At 34.7% G+C, this 22,825-nt stretch overlaps 2 protein-coding genes across 14 annotated transcripts in view; one reads left to right on the top strand and one right to left on the bottom strand.

Annotated features, from left to right (window-relative positions):
• Window positions 1-2,433, top strand: part of RECQL (RecQ like helicase) — a 32,726-nt gene extending 30,293 nt beyond the window's left edge. For all 8 annotated transcript variants that reach the window (XM_047429300.1, XM_047429299.1, XM_005253464.5 and 5 more), the window contains 2 exons: window positions 245-374; window positions 997-2,433. In XM_047429300.1, the coding sequence (XP_047285256.1) occupies window positions 245-374; window positions 997-1,149 (283 nt within the window). In that variant the 3' untranslated portion in view covers window positions 1,150-2,433. The remainder of the gene's footprint in view (window positions 1-244; window positions 375-996) is intronic.
• The window catches only part of PYROXD1 (pyridine nucleotide-disulphide oxidoreductase domain 1), a 33,596-nt gene continuing 10,863 nt past the window's right edge, over window positions 93-22,825 (bottom strand). For 2 of the 6 annotated variants that reach the window (NM_024854.5, NM_001350912.2), the window contains exons 4-12: window positions 21,652-21,780; window positions 19,189-19,262; window positions 16,051-16,211; window positions 15,248-15,348; window positions 10,189-10,318; window positions 9,223-9,335; window positions 8,481-8,603; window positions 3,725-3,862; window positions 93-2,837 (exon numbers count right to left, since the gene is read on the bottom strand). In NM_024854.5, the coding sequence (NP_079130.2) occupies window positions 2,589-2,837; window positions 3,725-3,862; window positions 8,481-8,603; window positions 9,223-9,335; window positions 10,189-10,318; window positions 15,248-15,348; window positions 16,051-16,211; window positions 19,189-19,262; window positions 21,652-21,780 (1,218 nt within the window). In that variant the 3' untranslated portion in view covers window positions 93-2,588. Of the gene's footprint in view, window positions 2,838-3,724; window positions 3,863-8,480; window positions 8,604-9,217; window positions 9,336-10,188; window positions 10,319-14,230; window positions 14,479-15,247; window positions 15,349-16,050; window positions 16,212-19,188; window positions 19,263-21,651; window positions 21,781-22,825 lie in introns of those variants that run through there. The other 4 variants (NM_001350913.2, XM_047429554.1, XM_017019976.3 and 1 more) reach the window with 4 other exon arrangements.

Below are 22,825 nucleotides of genomic sequence, written 5' to 3'. Positions count from 1 at the left end.
TATTTTGTGTGAACTTTTAAATGCTATAGAAAGTAATTTACCTAAAACACTCAAACTTTAATCACTATAAATAAAAAAAAGTAACGAAAATATTTTCTTTAAAGGCTTTATTTGCATTCTTGTAAATTTTATTATTTCAAGTCAATGTGTTAAGAATTACTGCGCATATAGTTATTTCTTTTATAAATTTGTTTTCCGTGATTCCTTCAAAAGCTTTCTTATTGTTGGCCTTTATTTTCTGCAGAGAAGACTACAGTTTTACAGCTTATGCTACCATTTCGTATTTGAAAATAGGACCTAAAGCTAATCTTCTGAACAATGAGGCACATGCTATTACTATGCAAGTGACAAAGTCCACGCAGAACTCTTTCAGGGTAAATGGCTATTAATTTTCAGTTTTATATATTTTAAAAAGTATATTAAAGCCTATGGGATGCTTTTCTGTCATATTCCCCTAGGTCCAGTTGAACATGAGAAAAGTCAGTTTTCTGATTAGATTTCTGGGTATGGAAGAGAGAAAATATAGTTTTCTGTAAAGATGTAAGTGAAAGAATTTAGACTGGCCTTTTAACATAAACTAGGGGTTTCCAGTTTCTTGGAATGGGAGGACTCCGTTTGAATATCTAATTTTGTTATGCACTCTGCTCTTATTTGGTTGTGATTACTAATAGTTGAGAAGTCTGTTTCTGCTGTTCCAGTGGTTAGAAACCACTGTTTTAAACCAAATACTATCAAGTCTGCAAAAGCATGTCAAGTCAAGTGCCATTGTGTCTAAGGACATTTGAGGTCTTTAGAACTTCTCTCACAACGTAGCCCCTTTTATTCAAAATAGAGCTCATATTTGAATAGAAATTTGTAGATAAAAAACTAGACCCCTGTATACTTAAAAAGCCAACTGATACAGAAAGAATATTTTGAAATATTTAATCTCATGAGAAAACTGAATAGCTGGATTTTTACCAAGGTGCTTGCTTTGTTTTTTTTTTTTTTTTGTAGGCTGAATCGTCTCAAACTTGTCATTCTGAACAAGGTGATAAAAAGATGGAGGAAAAAAATTCAGGCAACTTCCAGAAGAAGGCTGCAAACATGCTTCAGCAATCTGGTTCTAAGAATACAGGAGCTAAGAAAAGAAAAATCGATGATGCCTGATATGAATGTTACTAAATTTTCTAATTAAAGATGGTTTATGCATGTATATGCCATTATTTTTGTAGTTAGACAATAGTTTTTAAAAGAATTTCATAGATATTTTATATGTATGGATCTATATTTTCAGAGCTTATCTCTGAAGATCTAAACTTTTGAGAATGTTTGAAAATTAGAGATCATGAATTATATAATTTTCCAGTATAAAACAAGGGAAAAATTTTTATGTAAAACCCTTTAAATGTAAAATATTTGAGAATAAGTTCATACAATCGTCTTAAGTTTTTTATGCCTTTATATACTTAGCTATATTTTTTCTTTTGACATAACTATCTTTTTGAAAGCAATATTATACTGACAGAGGCTCACTGAGTGATACTTTAAGTTAAATATGTAGATCAAGGATGTCCAATCTTTTGGCTTCCCTGAGCCACATTGGAAGAAGAATTGTCTTGGGCCGCACATAAAATATGCTAACACTGATGATAGCTGATGAGCTTAAAAAAAAAATTGCAAGAAAAATCTCATGTTTTAAGAAAGTTTACAAAAAATGTAAAATATTTGAGAATAAGTTCATGTAATTGTCTTAAGTTTTTTATGCCTTTATATACTTAGCTATATTTTTTCTTTTGACATAACCATCTTTTTGAAAGCAATATTATACTGACAGAGGTTCACTGAGTGATACTTTAAGTTAAATATGTAGATCAGGGATGTCCAATCTTTTGGCTTCCCTGAGCCACATTGGAAGAAGAATTGTCTTGGGCCGCACATAAAATATGCTAACACTGACGATAGCTGATGAGCTTAAAAAAAAAAAAATTGCAAGAAAAATCTCATGTTTTAAGAAAGTTTACAGATTTGTGTTGGGCTGCATTCAAAGCTGTTCTGGGCTGCATTAGACCCGTGGGCTAGAGTTGGACAAGCTTGTAGATGATTTCAGGTTATAAAACCAGAAGTACAATTCAACAAAAAAGGAGTAAGTCATCAATATAAATATTAGCAAACGAGATATTGCTACATCTCTATTTAAAGTAAAATACAACCGATTTTAAAGTTCCTGAAACCATAGCCATATTTTGACATTTCACAAAGAATGGTTCTAGTCTACTAGAGTACATTTGGCTAAGTAGATAACTTACCTAAATTTGCTCCAAAGCTAAATCACAAGTAAACATATTTATGTTTAAAACACAGAAATAAATAACTTAAGATTTTTATCTAAGCGGTCAGTGTTGTATTGGAAAGATATATCTATAAATAAACTTTGAACTGATTTCAAACTTAGAATTTATGTTTTTATATTTTTCCACTAATATCATTATCACTTCTGTAATTTTCAGTGTGGTCATCATTAACTCAATACAGTCATTCATTTTATTGACTTGTGATTTTTCTGGTGTCATTTGGAACTTTATATGATTCCTGAAGAAATTCCATTTTTAGTCAAAATAATCTTCTATATCAATATTTGGATCTAGCAGATCTTCTCCATATGATGAAAGATTCATTTGGTTTAAGATTAGGTTTTCAAATGTTTCTTCTAAATCGGTTTCACCAATTAAGACAGCTCCCATCATTCGTCCATTTTGCATGACGACTTTGATGTATTCTCGTCCTTTGGTACATCTCAGCATTAATTCATGATCTGAACCTAAGCCCTGTGCATTGTATTTTCCCAGCAGTACAACCTATATTTAGAGATAAAAAGGTTATTGTCATGAGTATCATAAAGAAAATGTAATGGGTAGTTATTTTGTGTCAAGTTTGAATAGCCGCAGAAAACTTATGCCACAAAATTTCATAACTAAAAATGTTATTGGGGAGAGTCCCAAAGAAAATGTTTCAACAGCATGCGTTAATTCTACAGATGACACTATCACACACTCTACACTGACATTAAAAAATTCTGGTGAATATAGTCAAATGTTAATGTTTAATATTTTAACACTAAAAATATCTAGTGAATATAGGTAGGTGATTCTACCAATCTATATGAACATTAAAACTATACAGTAAATATATAAATATGTAGGATGTGGATACATTAAACCATGTGGAGTCGTGGTTTAAAGATTTGGCAAGGAACTGAATTAGAGCTTTCATGGAAAAGTTTCTTAATTTCCCTGAGGCTTTTGAATATGTTTCTCCTTCTCTGTAAATTAGGGAAAAAAAAAAACCCAAAACAACCTTTGTCAATGTGAAGAGGACTGAATAAGATAATAGATACAGGAAAGCTCTTGGTTTATTTTTGAGTACAACAGCAGTTAGTTCCCCTCACAAAGAAAGGATGAATCACAAGTAAAAGTTAAAAATGCACCAACAAGTAACAGATCTAGAGAGAAATTTTTTTCCCTCTTAACTAAAATAGAATAGTGGTAAGGTGGATAATTATCAGATGATTAGGGATTAAGACTAGCAATAATACCAGGTATTGGTTTGTAAGAAATGAAAAATGTCATTTTTTTGTAGATGATTAAAACTATGTACGTTTTTATTCAAGCAAGAAAATCACATGATTTATCATAGTCATAAGACTAACAAGCAGAGAAGGCATTAATATGCTTAACTATCTTACCTTATAGTTAAAAAATTTTGTCACATGAGCAAACAGTTCAAAGCTGAAATCCATGTCAATAGAGTCTCCTGAACTCGCTGCAGCCATGCACTTTGCTGCATACCATCCCATCTGTCTAGCCTGGGTCCACAGCCTCATCTGAAATGATGAAAAAATGTTACACAATGTCATTTTTCATGATCATTATCTGAAAAATGTTAACCTTGTAAATTCACTTAAAGGAGTTCAATGTTTGACAGTCTTTCTGTCATCTTTGCCACAGAAGCAGTCACCAATGGATAACTAATCAGACTGATTTTTGGTATTTGTTAATTCTATCTAAATTACTGCCTCTAAAATTAAAAGATGATACCAATCACACCTGTTTTAGTAGCATTTCTATTAAATATTATGAAACTATATTAAGCTATACCAGGTGAGAAAAATGTTTTAATTAACCAGTCCCTTCTTCAAAAATTTGTCATCACCATTAACAGAGATGTCAAATTATCACTGAAGAATTTGTTCTATTTTCCAGCAACCTTCATTTTTATGCACTACTTAAGGTCTGCTGTGCTGTTAACCTCAGTGGTTAGACAGACTCTTGGTGCCTCACCAAGACAACATAAATATCTCAGCAACTGATTCTGGGAAGTCATTTAAATTGTTTTGCATGACCGTATTAATTCATCTATTGTATTTTTATTTTATTTCTATGAAGTTTTGAGACTCCCTGGTATAAAAGAACACGGCCTTTGACAAAATTCAACAACCCTTCATGCTAAAAACTCTCAATAAGGTATTGATGGGACGTATCTCAAAATAATAAGATCTATGACAAACCCACAGCCAATATCATACTGAATGAACAAAAACTGGAAGCATTCCCTTTGAAAACTGGCATAAGACAGGGATGCCCTCTCTCACCACTCCTATTCAACATAGTGTTGGAAGTTCTGGCCAGGGCAATCAGGCAGGAGAAGGGAATAAAGGGCATTCAATTAGGAAAAGAGGAAGTCAAATTGTCCCTGTTTGCAGATGACATGATTGTATATCTAGAAAACCCCATCAGCTCAGCCCAAAATCTTAAGCTGATAAGCAACTTCAGCAAAGTCTCAGGATACAAAATCAATGTGCAAAAATCACAAGCATTCTTATACACCAACAACAGACAAACAGAGCCAAATCATGAGTGAATTCCCATTCACAATTGCTTCAAAGAGAATAAAATACCTAGGAATCCAACTTACAAGGGATGTGAAGGACCTCTTCAAGGAGAACTACAAACCACTGCTCAATGAAATAAAAGAGGATACAAACAAATGGAAGAACATTCCATGCTCATGGGTAGGAAGAATCAATATCGTGAAAATGGCCATACTGCCCAAGGTAATTTATAGATTCAATGCCATCCCCATCAAGCTACCAATGACTTTCTTCACAGAATTGGAAAAAACTACTTTAAAGTTCATATGGAACCAAAAAAGAGCCCGCATCGCCAAGTCAATCCTAAGCCAAAAGAACAAAGCTGGAGGCATCACGCTACCTGACTTCAAACTGTACTACAAGGCTACAGTAACCAAAACAGCATGGTACTGGTACCAAAACAGAGATATAGACCAATCGAGCAGAACAGAACCCTCAGAAATAATGCCTCATATCTACAACTATCTGATCTTTCACAAACCTGACAAAAAGAAGAAATGGGGAAGGGATTCCCTATTTAATAAATGGTGCTGGGAAAACTGGCTAGCCATATGTAGAAAGCTGAAACGGGATCCCTTCCTTACACCTTATACAAAAATTAATTCAAGATGGATTAAAGACTTACATGTTAGACCTAAAACCATAAAAACCCTAGAAGAAAACCTAGGCAATACCATTCAGGACATAGGCATGGGCAAGGACTTCATGTCTAAAACACCAAAAGCAATGGCAACAAAAGTCAAAATTAACAAATGGGATCTAATTACACTAAAGAGCTTCTGCACAGTAAAAGAAACCACCATCAGAGTGAACAGGCAACCTACAGAATGGGAGAAAATTTTTGCAACCTACTCGTCCGACAAATGGCTAATATCCAGAATCTACAATGAACTCAAACAAATTTACAAAAAAAAAACAACCCCATCAAAAAGTCGGCGAAGGATATGAACAGACACTTCTCAAAAGAAGATATTTATGCAGCCAAAAGACAAATGAAAAAATGCTCATCATCACTGGCCATCAGAGAAATGCAAATCAAAACCACAGTGAGATACCATCTCACACCAGTTAGAATGGCAATCATTAAAAAGTCAGGAAACAACATGTGCTGGAGAGGATGTGGAGAAATAGGAACACTTTTACACTGTTGGTGGGACTGTAAACTAGTTCAACCATTGTGGAAGTTGGTGTGGCGATTCCTCAGGGATCTAGAACTAGAAATACCATTTGACTCAGCCATCCCAGTACTGCGTATATACCCAAAGGATTATAAATCATGCTGCTATAAAGACACATGCACACGTATGTTTATAGCGGCACTATTCACAATAGCAAAGACTTGGAACCAACCCAAATGTCCAACAATGATAGACTGGATTAAGAAAATGTGGCACATATACACCATGGAATACTATGCAGCCATAAAAAATGATGAGTTCATGTCCTTTGTAGGGACATGGATGAAGCTGGAAACCATTATTCTCAGCAAACTATTGCAAGGACAAAAAACCAAACACCACATGTTCTCACTCATAGGTGGGAACTGAACAATGAGAACACATGGACACAGGAAGGGGAACATCACACACCGGGGACTCTTGTGGGGTGGGGGTGCAGCACACCAACATGGCACATGTATACATATGTAACAAACTTGCACGTTGTGTACATGTATCCTAAAACTTAAATATAATAATAAAAAAAAAAAACACTGACCTTGGGAGTCACAGTGGATTTTAATATCAACAGATCTACATATATATTTAACTTTTCTGGGCCTCGGTTCATTTACCTGAAACGTAAACATAACACTACCTACTCTGTAACTATTGAGAGAATTAAACAGGTTAGCGTATAATAAGCACTTGGTTTCCTTCTACCTCCCTGTATGTGCATATGTACTTAATGCTGTCTTTTGTTTGCAGAAATAATATCATAATCATAGACATGAGTTTTAAGCATTTCTAGCAGAAGTGATAGATTTTTTTTTTTCAATCTCCTCTGTAAACAAGGTATTATAGATTTGATGAAGTGAAAGGCAGTTTATGGCTGGGGGTCAGAATAAACTGAGCACAGTAACAACTAGAGAACAGCTAATACAAGTGGCCGGAAAATTTGCATCTTGAACTGCATAAATTAGTATCCTTATTGCTTGTGTAAGCCAAGAAATGGGGCCTATAAGGTGCACTCAAAACAAGGCCATCTGTTTATTTTCGGATTTTTTCCCCTCTTTCAGATTATAACACATTAAGATATAATTTACCCTAGAGAATTAAAAATGTTAAAAAAAAAAAAACCCATAAACTCCAACTCTAAGAATTTGTGATAGTCTTGCCACAGAAATGACATAGAATGAGGCAGGTTAGAAACAAAAAGGCTGGAACCATTCTTACTGATGTCTCTACTGTCTGTAAGAACACAAAATGATGGTGCTGCCTCTTGAAATACTTTTAGCTCTTCTCCTACTTCACACTGCATAATCTGAATGAATAATGTCCCTAACTGTGGAGCTGGTCTTTAACAAAGATAAATGTTGCCTGGTTCCTTTATTTCAAACATCTACCTAGGTCTCTACCCCTCTGCACACCTCTGGTCACTGTCTTTATCTTCCTCTAGTATTTTTGTTCCACCGTTAGGAGGAGGTAGGTAAAGCTGTGAGGGTAGGAAAAAGTCTAGATCCAGTTGGGACTTGTTAAGGCTCAGGAAAGGTGTTTACTACAGGAATTTTTTTTTTTTTTTTTGAGACAGAGTTTTGCTCTTGTTGCCCAGGCTGGGGTGCAGTGGTGCGATCTCAGCTCACTGCAACCTCCGCCTCCCAGGTTCAAGGGATTCTTGTGCCTCAGCCTCCTGAATAGCTGGGATTACAGACGCACACCATCATGCTCAGCTAATTTTTTGTATTTTTAGTAAAGACGGGGTTTCATCATGTTGTTCAGGCTGGTCTCAAACTCCTAACTTCAGATGATACACCTGCCTCTCACCCTCCCAAAGTGCTGGGATTACAGGCGTGAGCCACTGCGCCCAGAACATTTTTTAGTAATGATTACCACAGGGACAGAATAGGATCATAAAGGAATAGAATGCTTTTCTATATAATTTACAATCTTAGTAGTTTTTTTAATCTAAAGTTGTGCTGTCCAACATCGTAGCCACATATATTTAAAGTTAATGAGAAGTAAGTAAAAATAATTCAGTTCCTCAGTCACATTAACCACATTTCAAGTGCTCATGTGACATACTGCTGGCTACCTGACTAGATGGTGAGGAATTAAACATTTCCATCATCACAGAAAGTTCTCCTGGACAGTGCTGATAAGCAGGTAAGAATGAAAAACAAAGTAATAGCCCATAATTTCTTTTAAAGTAAAAGATGTCTCAGTCTACCATTATAATGATAACTTACCAAACAGGGAAATATTCTAGTTTTTTTTTTAAATATATATAACAACTGTGCTAGCTTCCTACTTAAGCAGAAAAGTTGGAAAACCAGAAGTTGGATTTGTTGGTAACAACCGCTTTATTTTCAGACAGAATCTCTGATGAAAACATATAATTATATATGCTAGCTTACCTGCTGCCAGACTGGGCTCAGCTGCCAGGATGTAGTACAGATGTCACCGGCAGCATAGATATCAGGAAGGGATGTGTGCATATGATCATCCACTTTCAGGCCACCATCTTCTCCTAGATCAAACTAAACAACATTCCTCATAAGCGTTAAGTGTTAAGAAAAATGAAACGACTTTTTCCATTTTAAAGTAAAAGAACAAATTAAATTGTTACACTTTGCATGCTCATCTTTAATGAGAAAATGAAAAATATCAGCAAAGTTTAGACACCTGAGCTGAATTTCCATGGATCAAATTCCAACTAAGACTGATCCATAAAACTGTCAGAATTTCAACATGAAAAGTATCCAATAACCATGTGACTACCTTATCCATAACTACAAGAATATTCTTTTTTTTTTTTTGTAAGCTTCAAGTGCTGAAAAGCAAAAAATACAAGATGGTTTCTCTAAAAGAATCATTTTTGAGAAGTCACGGGAGGTGTCAGTCTCTTACCAACATTTAGATAAATAAATTGTACATTATAAACCATTACTGATGACGCTTATGCAAGGATATAACTATGTAAGGATTTTAAGCAGTAAAAAATACTGTAAATCAAGACAATGTTTTAACCAAACTGTTTCCAACCATGTTAAGTTACAGTTGTACACTAAAATAATAATTATTCATGTTTGAGAATTAGAGATCTTCACAAAAATACTTCAAATATATTCACAGCTGGACAAAAAAATTTCACCTTACACTGTTACCATGGAGAAAAGGTTCTACATTTGGTGTAACTCCTGTAGCACTGACAATGAAATCGCAGCCATATATCTTTTCATTGGTCAATTCCACATAGACAGGCCACATCTCTTTAAGAAAAAAAAACCAAAAAAACAGACTTTATTTGTAAATGGAACCATCACCACAGCAGTGTATGTGACTACAATGACTAGAAACAAAGAAAGAAAAAGAAAGGCAAGAGATAACTTTGTAACACACTCCTTAGCAATTATTATGAGGCATATTTGCTAAAGCAATTTTAATGCAATTAGCATCATCTCGTTTGGGTATAATTTTAAAACCATGGCATTTTAAATGTTTTTCCTTCAAATTTGGACACATAAATTTTGACAAAGTACATTTAAATTATTTCTAAATTATTTCTCTAAAAATCTTTTGTAATACTTTACACTCCACTTAAGTGTTTAGTTCAACTAGGTGTCTTCCCTCACTACTCATATTCAAATTCCCCTTTCCTATGGAAAAATTCAAAGAATTCAGAACAGTAGAATATTTCATATGCTAGTTAACTGAGTGTATTTCTTCAAATCATGGCAATTCTCAGAGGAGTTGTGGAACTGGAGTTAGGAGAGCTGCATCTTAGTCCCAAAAATATACATTTTCAATCTGATTTGGGTGAAATCATGTCACCTTTAAGAGCTCTAGGTTTTTGTCTTATTTTGATTTATAATATATTCTGATTGTTGGTCAAAACACTCAGCTCTATGTAAGATGTAATGCCCTATACGATTTAATTTACTAGAAAACAACAGACAGTGAAATGAAGTGAGTTAATGTTATTAAATTATGGTTTTATTTTTACTTTTCATGTTTAAATTTTATATGGAAATACGAAGTTATTTTTAATAGAACACAGCAGGATTAAATTGTTTTCCTTTTAATTAAGTGGTTATATATATTTTTTCTTATTTCATTACTTGCCTGTATCAGCTGTAACTGACTTATGGTCTCTTGGAAAAGTGAAGGACTTTTTCTTCAAAATTCTAAACTCATCCTGAAGGTAGATTTTCTTTACTTCACACATAGTTTCAAGGTGAATCTTATGAGAAAACTAAAATTAAGAAAATACTGGTTAGCATAATACTTACAGAAAGAATAACCCGGGTTACTAATGATGAAGAAAAAACGTATACTTGTAGAAATGTATAGAAAACATAATTCTTATAATATAAATGAAACCACATTGGGTGCCCTAAAATAAGTCTCTCTATGCACATGAAAGGAGTGAACAAAAATTCATTCAGTAACTTAAGAGATCTGGTAGCTGCATTAGCAGATAGCATCGAGGGAATGCTTTTTAGCCTAGGCCTCATTGATAATTACAAATGCATTTTTTAAAAATTACAGTAGTTGTTGGGCACAGTGGCTCACGCCTGTAATCCCAGCACTCTGGGAGGCCGAGGCGCAGGTGGATCACCTGAGGTCAGGAGTTCAAGACTAGCCTGGCCTATATGGTGAAACCCTGTCTCTACTAAAATTAAAAAATTAGCCAGGCCTGGTGGTGTGCGCCTGTAGTCCCAGCTACTCGGGAGGCTGAGGCAGGAGACTCGCTTGAACCCGGGAGGCAGAGGTTGCAGCGAGCCAAGATCATACCACAGCACTCCAGCTTGGGTGACAGAGCGAGACTCTGTCTCAAAAAAAATAAATAAATAAAATAAATAAATAAATAAATAAATAAAAATTTAAAAAATGACAACAGTTATGGACTATAAAATTTTCTTCAGGTCAGTTCTGACTTACTGTCGTATCCCTGAACATTAATAAAGTCCCACGTAGGTAGTAAATACTCAATAAATGCTTATTGAATTAAACTGTTGAAGTTCTCAGGTTAAAAATATAATATTAGGATCTGAAGGTGCAAGAAGAAGGGACTTTGTGTAATTTCCATCACAAAAATTAGATACACCGTGCAGCCAGCTCCCCTCCTACCTACTGAAAGCCAAAAACCAATGCTCTAAAGAAATCACACAAAGTAACGAAGGACTGCATGCATGCTTCTTACAGCATTTAGATTTCACAGCCCTTTAACAACTATTAAAAAATCAAAATATCTAACAAAATGAGGAAAAGCAAATCATCTCCTTATCCAATTAGGGTATTAAGTGTGTATTTCCAATCCATCTAATAACTTTTGTAAGTTTACTGCATGCATCTGAAGTGACCTTTGAGAAAAGATTAATTTAAAATAGGACAGGAGTATTCACTGTAGTCTGGGTATAGAAAGCTCTATCCCTGATCTGAGGATATAGGAAAAAACAAACTCAGTTTCTCCTACTATAGTCTCACAACACAGAATACTTCTGTGACCAAATGTGTGTGGGGTGTTTTCTACACACTAAGCAAGCAATTAATTCTGCACAGGACACCATCTGGCTGTCCTCTAATTCAATTCAGTTCTGATGTTATTATCTACCTGGAGATAGCATCAGGTCCCACATGTTGAGGGATCAATCTCACAAGACTGTCTTCCACTTCCAATACCAATTGCATGCCCCGGGTGTTTTACCAGTTGGTCTGACTAACCAACCATAAATCAAGGGGCTCCCACGAGCCCCTTTCTTAGGTTCAATTAATTTATTAGAATATCTCACAGAATTTGGGGAAACACTTTACTTACATTTACTGGTTTATTATCAAGGATGTCACGAAGAAACAGATGAAGAAATACATAAGGCAAAGCATATAAGAAGGGGCATGAAGCTTCTATGCCCTCTCCAGATAGACCACCCTCTAGCAACTTCCACATGTTCAGCTATCCAGAAGCTCTCCAAACCCAGTCCTTTTGGGTTTTCATGGAAACTGTGTTATGTAGGTGACTGATTAAATTACTGGCTGCTAGTGATTGGCTTAACCTTCAACCTCTTTCCCTTCCTGTAGGTTGGAAAGTCTAAACTCTAATCATGTCTTGGTCTTTCCTGTGACCAGTCCCCATTCTGAAGCCACCTAGGGGCTAACCAGTCAACTCGTTAGCATACAAAAGGACACATCACTTTGGAGATGCCAAAAATTTTAGGAGTTGTGTGCCAGAAAACTGCAGACACAACATTTTATTGTGCTTCACTACTGTTTTGCAGATAGTGTGTTTTTTACAAATTGAAGGTTTGTGACAAACCCACATCAAGCAAGTCTTATCAGTGCCATTTTTCCAATAGCATGTGCTCACTTTGTGTCTCTGTCACATTTTGGTAATTCTTGCAATATTTCAGTTTTCATCATTATTAGATCTTTTATGGTGATCTGTGATTAGTAATCTTTGATGTACTACTGTAATTGTCTTGGGGTGTCATGAACCACACCCATCTAACACAGTGAACTTAATCGATAAATGTTCTGTGTTCTGACTGCTCCATCAACCAGCTGTTGTCCTATGTCTCTCCCTCTCCTTGGGCCTCCTTATTCCCGGAGACACAAGAATATTGAAACCAGGGCAATCAGTTACTCTGTAGTGGCCTCTAAGTGTTCAAGTGAAAGTAAGGATCACACATCTCTCACTTTAAATCAAAAGGTAGCAATGATTATTAGGGTTATTGAGGAAGGCACATGGAAAGCCAGGCCTCTTGCCCTGAACAGATGGCCAAATTGTGAATGCAAAGGAAACATTCTTGAAGTAAATCTAAAGTGGTATTCCAATGAACACATGAATGATGAGAAAGCGAAACAGTCTTCTTGCTGACATGGAGAAAGTTTTAGTGGTGTGGAGAGAAGATCAAATCAGCCACAACATTCCCTTAGGCCAAAGCCTAACCCAGAGTAAGCCCCTAACTGTTTTCAATTCTGTAAAGGCTGAGAGAAGTGAGGAAGCTGCAGAAGAAAAGGCTGAAGCTAGTAGAGGTTGGTTCATGATGTTTAAGTAAAGAAGCCATCTCTACAACAAAAATATACAATTGATAACTGATGAATGTGGCTACACTAAACAGTAGATTTTCAGTGTACATGAAACAGCCTTCCAGTGGAAAAAGATGCTATCTAGGACCTTCACAACTATAGAGGAGAAGTCAATGCCTGGCTTCAAAGGACAGGCAGACTCTCCTGTTAGGGGATAATGTAACTGGTGACTTGAAGTTGAAGCCAATGCCTATTTACCACTGTGAAAGTTCTAGGGCCCTTAAGAACTATACTACATCTACCCTGCCTGTCCTCTGTAAATGGAACAACAAAGCCTGGATGACAGCATTATATGGTTTGGGCCTGGTTCTCCACCCAAATCTCATATCAAATTGTAATCCCCAATGTTGGAGGTACGGCCTGGTGGGAGGTGACTGGATCATGGGGACAGTTTCTAATAGTTTAGCACCATCCTTAGTGCTGTTTTCATGTTAGAGTTCTCATGAGATCTGGTTGTTTAAAGGTGTGTGGCACCAGCCCCCTTCTCTCTCTTCCTCTTGCTCTGGCCATGTAAGAAGTGCATAATTCCCCTTCCCCCGTGATTGAAAGTTTCCTGAGGCCTCCCCAGTCATGCTTCCTGTACAGCCCGTGGGACCATGAGCCAATTAAACCTCTTTTCTTTATAAATATTACCTACTCTCAGGTATTTCTTTATATACTGTGAGAATGGAGTAATACACAGCACATCTGTTTACATAGTTTACTGAATATTTGAAGCCCACCATTGAGACCTACTGCTCAGAAAAAAAAAAAAAAAGATTCATTTCAAAATACTACACTCATTGACAAGGCATTTGGTCACCCAAGAACTCAGACAGAGATGCACAAGGAGATGAATGTTGTTTTCATGCCTGCTAATACAATATCCATTCTGCAGCCCATGGATCCAGGAGTAATTCTTACTTTCAAGTCTTATTAAAGAAATGCATTTCATAAGGCTATAGCTGCCACAGATAGTGATGCATCTGATGGATCTGGGAAAAGTACATTGAAAACCTTCTGGAAAGAATTCACCATTCTAGATGTTATTAAGAACATTCATGATTCAAGGGAGTAAGTCAAAATATCAACATTAACAAAAGCTTGAAAGAAGTTTACTCCAACCTTCATGGATGACTTTGAGGGATTCAAGATTTCAATGGAGAAAGGCAGATATGGTGGAAATAACAAAAGAACTGTAATTAGAAATGAATCCTGAAGATGAGACTACATTGCTGCAATCTCATGATAAAATTTGAAAAGATGAGTTGTTGTTTCTCATGGATGAGCAAAGAACGTAGTTATCTGAGATGGAGTTTACTTCTGGTGAGGATGCTGTGAGTATTGCTGAAATGATGAAGGATTTAAAATATTACATATACTTGGTAAAGCAGTAGCAGAGTTTGAGAGAATTGACTTTTGAAAGAACTTCTACTCTGGGCAAAATGCTATAAAACAGCTTCGCACGCTACAGAGAAGTCTTTCACGAGAGGAAGAGTCAATTGATGGGGCAAACTTGTTATTTTAAGAAATTGCCACAGCCACCCAAACCTTCAGCAAGCACCACCCTGATGAGTCATCAGCCACCAATACCGAGGCAAAACTTTCCACCAAAAAAAGATTATGATTTGCTGAAGGCTCAGATGATTGTTAGCATATTAAGCAATAAAGTATCTTTAAATTAACGTTATGTGCATTGTATTTTTAGACACAATGCTAATGCACATTTAATAGACTGCAGTATGTTATAAACATAACTTTTGCAGGCACTGGGAAACTGAAAAATTCGTGTGGCTCACTTTATTGTGGTATATCATTTCCTGTGATGGTCTGGGACTGAACCTGCAATACTCCAAGGTATGACTGTATATATATTACAGTATCACACCTCAAGAGTTAAAACGTAGGCTGAGATCCAGTCTTCGATGCTTTGACATTCAGTTTTCTTTGGTGGCCAAATGGACCAACTGCATTGGAGGTCTTTTCCTAACACTATGGATTTTAAGTAAAGTGACCTAACAGTTCGTTGACTATATATTTATTACCAGTCTTTAATAAATGGTTCAAGAATTTAAAATTACATTTAGACATGACCAATTAGTATATGAAAAGATACCTCTTTTGTTCCTTTAAGATTCAAGCCTTCATGCCAATCTGGTCCCAATGCACTTCCTACATTATCTGCTTTAGATTTGCTTCTAGCTTCCTTTTTCCTTCCTAAAGAGATGAAATTAAATAATATAAAAATTACCAGATAGAGAAATATGTTAGTGTTCTGAAGTTTTTTATTTAGGCAATGTAATGATTCATATATATACATACATTACAGCATGACTAACCTATGTTATCTATATTAATCATTTTAGTCATTAATATTTTTCTGATGTAGAGTTACAAAACAGATAATCTTTCAGTTGTGTGTTGAGTATAAACACACTCAACTTACGTTTTGGATGTTACACGGTTAACTGGAAGGGTAAGAAAATTAGCCTTCAAATTTTTATAATTTTATATATTTTTAGCACCTCCAAAATGTACAAAACTCTTGTTTAATTTTATAATCTAAAAGTTTTTCAAAGCTATCAAACTTAAAAAAATATGAAGTTTGTATTAGTTTTTCAACTCACTGCATTTTTTACAAAACTTCTTCAGGTATTGCCAAAATGTAGTATCTGTTTGCAAAGATGCAGATGGGCTGAGTTATTCAATTTATTTTAAATTTCTTGTTTTAATTATATATATATATATAAAATACATACATATATATAAAATAGAAAATCTGAAAACTTCATGTAAAGATATATAAATATCCATATTACTATTTCCAAAATTTATTTTATTAAATTTTCTTGTAGCCCTTTTCTATATGGTTTTAAAAAAGTTTTGTATGAGAATTAATGAGCTAGGTGCTACACTTACCTTCAGTTGTATATCTGGTTCTTTTATGTGCAATTTTAGCCTCTGATTTTTCAGCAATGAGCTTTGAAGTCAAGAATTCAGCTGCTCCTGCATCGAAGAAAGTATTCCCTATAGCTTTATCTTTAATGGCCCAAATCACTTCACAGCCTTCAATTTCATACCTAAAAACAATGTTAAAGTTACTAAGAGTGATTTCAAAAGTCTAAGTAAAAAATCTTTGCATTTGCAAATAATGATCTCCTGAAGCAAAAGTAGGGAATACATTTTTAAGGCTAACTGGGAAAGATTGATTATAAAGAGGAATATTAACGTTCTTTACAGATGTTAAGAATTAAAAATTGAATAGTAAAAGAATCTGAAGCAGTTTACAGAAAGAACCTTTAAGTGACAAATACATGTACTGAATATCAAGTAAAATTTCATTACAGTGTACATCATTAGAAAATGTTCAATTTCTACAATACACTTATTATATGAATGGCCCCCAGGGGTAAGCAGTGCTTTTTAAAAAATCTGGTTATAGTGTAATCAAGTAATGGATGGATGGCACATAGCTATAATATTGAGAATCAGTCACTTATTTGGTAACAACTTTTTATATCTTCAAAGCACATTACGGAAAGGGATAGAAAATGGAAAGAATCAGAGTTATAAGCTAAAAATCTTAAGGATCAAGATCAAGGATCAAGGATCTTAGAGGAAGGAAAGAATGAAAATGGTATATATAAGCCACCTTCTATTACTATTTACCACTAATGTAAGGTAATGGGCATGTGATATTTTATTCTAGGTTTAGATGCTAAGAAGTGGTTTTCCTAACAATATTCCTTTCACAAAGTCCCTGAAGTCCATTATAATTAAGGTGATCACATAATTTATCACCTAACCTGGGATACTATCTGCTACTAATAATCATTTTTGGTACAACTGGTGGAAATGGAGACAATCCCAGACAAACAAGATATATGGCCATCCTAACTATAATAGGATTTTATCTAAACTTGCGATACTAATAAAATACTGTAAAAAGTTAAGGTATTAATTTTTCACATTTCTTTACGGTACAAAGTATTGTCATCTTTATTTCACAGACTGATATAACATAGGTTACACGACTTTTCAAGACTAATCAATAAACAGATTACGAAAAAAGGTTTAGTACATCTGAATCCAGGTCACTTGATATTCATACTTTTCAACATATGGTGATAAGGAACTCCTTGCTTTACCTAATAAGTCTTCGTTTTTCCAGCTCTTCTATGTCAGTAAACATAGAAGATTATTGGGTGAACATTCTATTTTATGTTACTCTGGTCATATAGCATTACTGACCAGCGGAAAGTGGAATACACACAAATTTGGTAATAAAGTTTGTATTTCAATTTACATACAGGCATACAGTTATCATGTAATGCTTTCTTTTTGAAAAACTGGGAATTTCTCTATATTACCATTTTTAAATTTAAAGTAATATTACACTATAACACCTATCAGTGCACTTCAGCATACTGATGACTGACTAGCAGACAAAGTTATTACAAGTAACCACAAGAAACTTCAGTACTTGCTCTACCTCCTAGGACACCTTCTAATCCTCTTTTCCTGACTTGAACTATGTTCTCAGCAAGATGCACAGTTTGACGATTATCATCACACAGAGGGGAAATACTGCTTTCATTTTGAAAATGACTCTACAGAAGCAGACAATGAGATATTACGGTTTTGTGAAGTTATGAAAAACAGTATCTGTTTGAAAAGGAAAGGATTAACTTACACTTAGAAAGGAGAAAACAGATAATAACTGAAATAAATGTATAATGAAGAACATTAGTATTAGTTTCACTGAAACACAGTGTAGAAAGGGTATGGGTATGCCAAGTTTCACGAGAGACAAAGACCTAATCACGCAGCAGACCTCAAGTCAGAGAATAACATTATGTGGGTCCATTTTTAATTACCAAAGAAGAGCTTACTAAATACAAAACTATGAGTTTTATCCAATTATACAGTCTTCAATCTCCAACTTAAAGAAAATGATGAATAGGATTAAATGTAAGACTCTGAACATTTTTGAACATAAAATTTTTAAATGTAAATAACAATTATAATAATAGTAAGTGATACTTTGGTGAGAGCTGATAGAGAAAATCTGGCATGTATATACTATACACAAGGATTTGAAGCCCCATTTACAATAAATCTATACCTCTTCCCTCTTGGCCCACATTTTGGTTTTGACCCTTTCTCTGTATTTCTCCATATAATGCCACAAACTTCATAATAACAATAATGACTGTTACCCATAGTACTCAGGCAATTTAAGAACTCTTACAGGCTTCCACTGGGTGAGATCATCCGCTAAAAGAGGGGCAAAAACCTAGTCTGAGAGTTGGATTGAATGCAAGTGAGCAAAGATATGGCTTTGGCAGAGTCCTTATTTTGATTCAAATTTGTCCTCTTTGTGGTTTGACTCAACTTTATGGCCTGAAAAAGATCCAGACTATTTCATGTCAATCATCTGCTAGAGGATAAAATCATGAAGTGAATCAATCTTCTGCAGGACACAGCAGGATATTTCTCAATGGTTTTTGAACTTGTAATATCGTCTTAAGATGAAAATTAATTAATGTGTTCACATTTCCCAAGCTACCAAAAAAAGAGCTGCAAGAACCACATATCCTAAAACAGGAGTCACAAACATTTTGGGTGACACTGGCCAGACAGGTAACATAAATGAGTGTAGCAGGATTTATCATATAAGCAATAAAAAGTGGTGAGGGCTATCACTAGAAATCTCAAAAGGTGTAAATATTTGAATTATTTTTAAACATAAAATATACTTATAAAACACATTTATGGGCCAAATTTGGCCAATCACCTTGAGACCTAAAGCATTCCCAAAACATATATATTTTATAATAAAATTTCTACAATTACGGATTCCACAAGAGCTAAAAAAATATGGTGGATTTTTCCCCTTGAAAACATATGAAAATTATATTTATCTTTGATTTTCAGAATAAAAAACATTTTCCAGTCTGCCAACAAATCACAAGAATCACAAAGCAATTGTTTAATTTAAAAACAAATTATTTTTAAACAATTTAAATGTTATCATATTTAAAAATATATACTTACACTAACTCAAGTGCAATACCACCGTTCCCTATGATCATTATTCTTTTAGCTTTAGTAAGCTGTTTCTGAAATTCCTATGTTAAAAAGAAAATAATGAGGTAGTATTTTGTAATAGTGGGCAATAATCTGAAATATGAGGCTTCGATAATATTCTAAAAATGTAAATATTTTATTGAATTTGTAAAGGAAAAAAATGAATCTCACTTTCCCACTGTATCAGGGTACATCCTCTCAATTAATATAACAAAAGTCCCCCTTTATGCTTTATCCCAAGCTGCCTTTATAGCAATGCCTCTCCTGATTTTCCTTTCCTTTTAGGTCATTACATTTACAGTACTTCAGAATTTCGGCAGGAGGCACTATTAACTTACCACATTCCCAATTATTTGACCAAATCAATTATTCTTTCTTTTCACCTAGACTCTCAGTTTCCCTAGAGTTACTCAACACTTAAAACTTCTAGGAATGAGAAGCTCAGCAGCATAGTGGTTAAGAGCACAGACTCTGGAAGCACTGGCTCTAGCAATTACTAACTGAATGACTTTGGGCAAGTTGCTTACCCTATCTGCATCTCAGGTCCTTCAACTATAAATGGAAATAAGGGACTATATATCCTAATGTTTCTGTAAGGATTATGTGAGATGACACAGACAAAGCTGGTAGGAGTAGCACGCACCCAATAATGTCAAACTTCTACTAAAAAAAAAAATGTTATTAACATTCTAAGACAGATACATTGATGCCTCCACCCCCCAGAAAAAAAAGATCACAATGAGCTTAGAGAAGCCAGTGGTAAATGTAAATGACAGTTAAAGGGTGCAGCACACCAACATGGCACATGTATACATATGTAACAAACCTGCACTTGGTGCACATGTACCCTAGAACTTAAAGTATAATAAATATAGATATATTAAAAAAAAAAGAGAGAGAGAAGCCAGTGGTAATTCTTTGGGCACTTTCAGAAGTATAGAATAGTCCCACTGCTTCAGAATGACATCTGGCCCTCCTACTAAATTTATATTAAATTTATCTCCAAACTTATAATATTCACTGAAGCTGACATCTTTAAAATTCTCCAAGAAAAAAACAACTGAAGTTTATTTCAGTTTGTCCTTCATTGAGGATATTGCAATTTAAGAAACATCTGCAAGAGCACTGGACCTAGAGGTGAAAAGCACAAGTTTAAATTGTGTATCTGATAGACTTAACAGCTAAATTAGTATAGATACATACTTAATCTCTTGACCTCAGTTTCCTATTTGTAAATTGGGAGTAATAATCGTCACACAGGATTATCATGAGGATTCAATGAGTTCATGTATGTAGAGGACCGAGCTAAAACAGTTATGAGCTCAATCTCTGATAATATGAACTTAAATTGTTTATAAGAAGATAATCAAGTTCCTTTAATTTTCTCTCAATTCCTAATTATTAAGAGAATAGGCTGAAAGAAAACATTATTAAATTTTCAGAATATAAATTATATTAATGCAAAATCATCATGTCATGAGACAGAACAACGAACTTGAGGTTAGACATAGTATTGTGAAACCAGGAAGAGCTTCTTGGCAATAAGGGTTAATAAGCCCTGAATTAAATTAAATTACCAAAAGGAATTTGTATAATGCTCCAAAAACAGATGTTTCACCTTATTGGGATAGTTTATCTAGGGCAGAACAATAAGCCAAGTGACCTTTTCTGTTCTATGATTCTATCATGATTTTGTACCACAAAGATCTTTTGAATTTTTTTTGCTGGAGAATAAGATCAGTACATTTTGAATACGCTTCACCTTTTTGGAAAAAATTGTTATATTATTTAGGTTGCAAATCACATATTCCCCAAGTAGAGTAATGAATGTGTGTGTAATATAAGTTGTTAATATTCAGCACAGTCATTATATCTGGGTTATCTCACGCTGATAACACATCAGCATGAACTTAAAAACATAGTGTCAACTAAAAATATAAAATTGGCAGGAATAGGCTGGGCACGGTGGCTCACGCCTGTAATCCCAGCACTCTGGGAGGCCTAGGTGGGCGGTCACGAGGTCAGGAGATCGAGACCATCCTGGCTAACATGGTGAAACCCTGTCTCTACTAAAAATACAAAAAAAAAAAAAAAAAATCAGCCAGGCGTGGTGGCAGGCACCTGTAGTCCCAGCTTCTCGGGAGGCTGAGGCAGGAGAATGGCGTGAAACTGGGAGGCGGAGCTTGCAGTGAGCCGAGACTGCGCCACTGCACTCCAGCCTGGGCAACAGAGCGAGACTCCGTTTCAAAAAAAAAAAAAAAAAGAAAGAAAATTGGCAGGAATAAAACATAACCACTCTGTGGTTTACTGGTCATGAAACAAAAATTTCCCTTCTGCCCTTACAGTTTAGGAATTGTAAGTGGAACACTTTAATTCAAATGTAGAAAATTCTTTTATTTTCCTTCTCACGATCCAACCTTAAAATGTTACCTGAGCACTGTCTGTATCACGGATTCCTAATACATAAGGATTTCCTTCACATATCAACTTTGGTTTAGCTCCAGCACACAGACAGAGTTTCTTATATACGTGCTGATTGCCATCTTCTGTTACAATGCACTGTAAATACATCAAACAATGAAAGAAAAGGGAGACACATAATCAACATGGATACAACTTCACTTTAAACTAAAAATTCAATAAGGCAAAAGCAAAACATAATATATTAAGGTTGCCTCTTGGTGGCACTCAGTTCTTTGTTATAGCAATTACAAAACTAAGCATGAGAATACATGTACTAATCCAGTTATTCTTAAATCATTTTAAGCTCATGAACCATTTTGAGATCTCCTGAAAACTAGTCTTTCTCCCCTGGCATAAAAAGGTACATTCACACAAAGTTTTGTATTAAACTTCAGGGAATCCCATGTTGGTTGAAAAGGTATGTTGACCCCACGTTAAAAACAAAACTTCAAGAAATTTTTAAATTTAAGCATTCTCATTATACCTGTGACAGGCCTTGATGAAGATTTCTGATCTCAAGGGAAGTTACTGTAAGAAGACCTAGTAATTCTAACCATATCCTACCTTCATATCTATTATGAGTACAGAAAAGCAGTGAGTGGAACAAGAGGTTATGGTATGTCTTCTTAATCTAAAAAGACTAGAAGTGCTTAAAAAAAATAGTACTTATATTCTTAAGTACAAATAATGACTTTACGAGCAAACCAAATGCTTTTGGGGTATATTTTAGTATAAGTAAAAAATATGATAATCTTTAATCCTAGCATGTATTGGCTTTAAATTTATATTAATTAATAACATAAATGGGTCTAAAACTACATATCAGAGATATATTGCTTTTGTTCTTTAATACTGAATGAAAAACCACATATAAATAGTAGCCTTTAGAAAACATTTAAACATAAATGCATGCTACTATGAGAGATGCTCAACTTTGTTCGAATGATTTAGGGGTTAATGTTTGTGCCAAGTGTTTGACTTACAAACCTTGTTAAACTGTATCATAGCACTTAACATCCAATGAGACATTTATAACTCAAATTAATTCTTCAGTTCCATAACAAATACATAAAACCAGTAATCCAGCATAGCATAATCCATGTAGAAATTTTATACAAGTCTTCTTTTAAATAATCTGGTT

This window comes from Homo sapiens, chromosome 12, assembly GCF_000001405.40.
Source record: "Homo sapiens chromosome 12, GRCh38.p14 Primary Assembly".
In the NCBI taxonomy this organism is placed as follows: Eukaryota; Metazoa; Chordata; class Mammalia; order Primates; family Hominidae; genus Homo; species Homo sapiens.
This window is presented reverse-complemented; position numbering and strand designations above follow the sequence as displayed.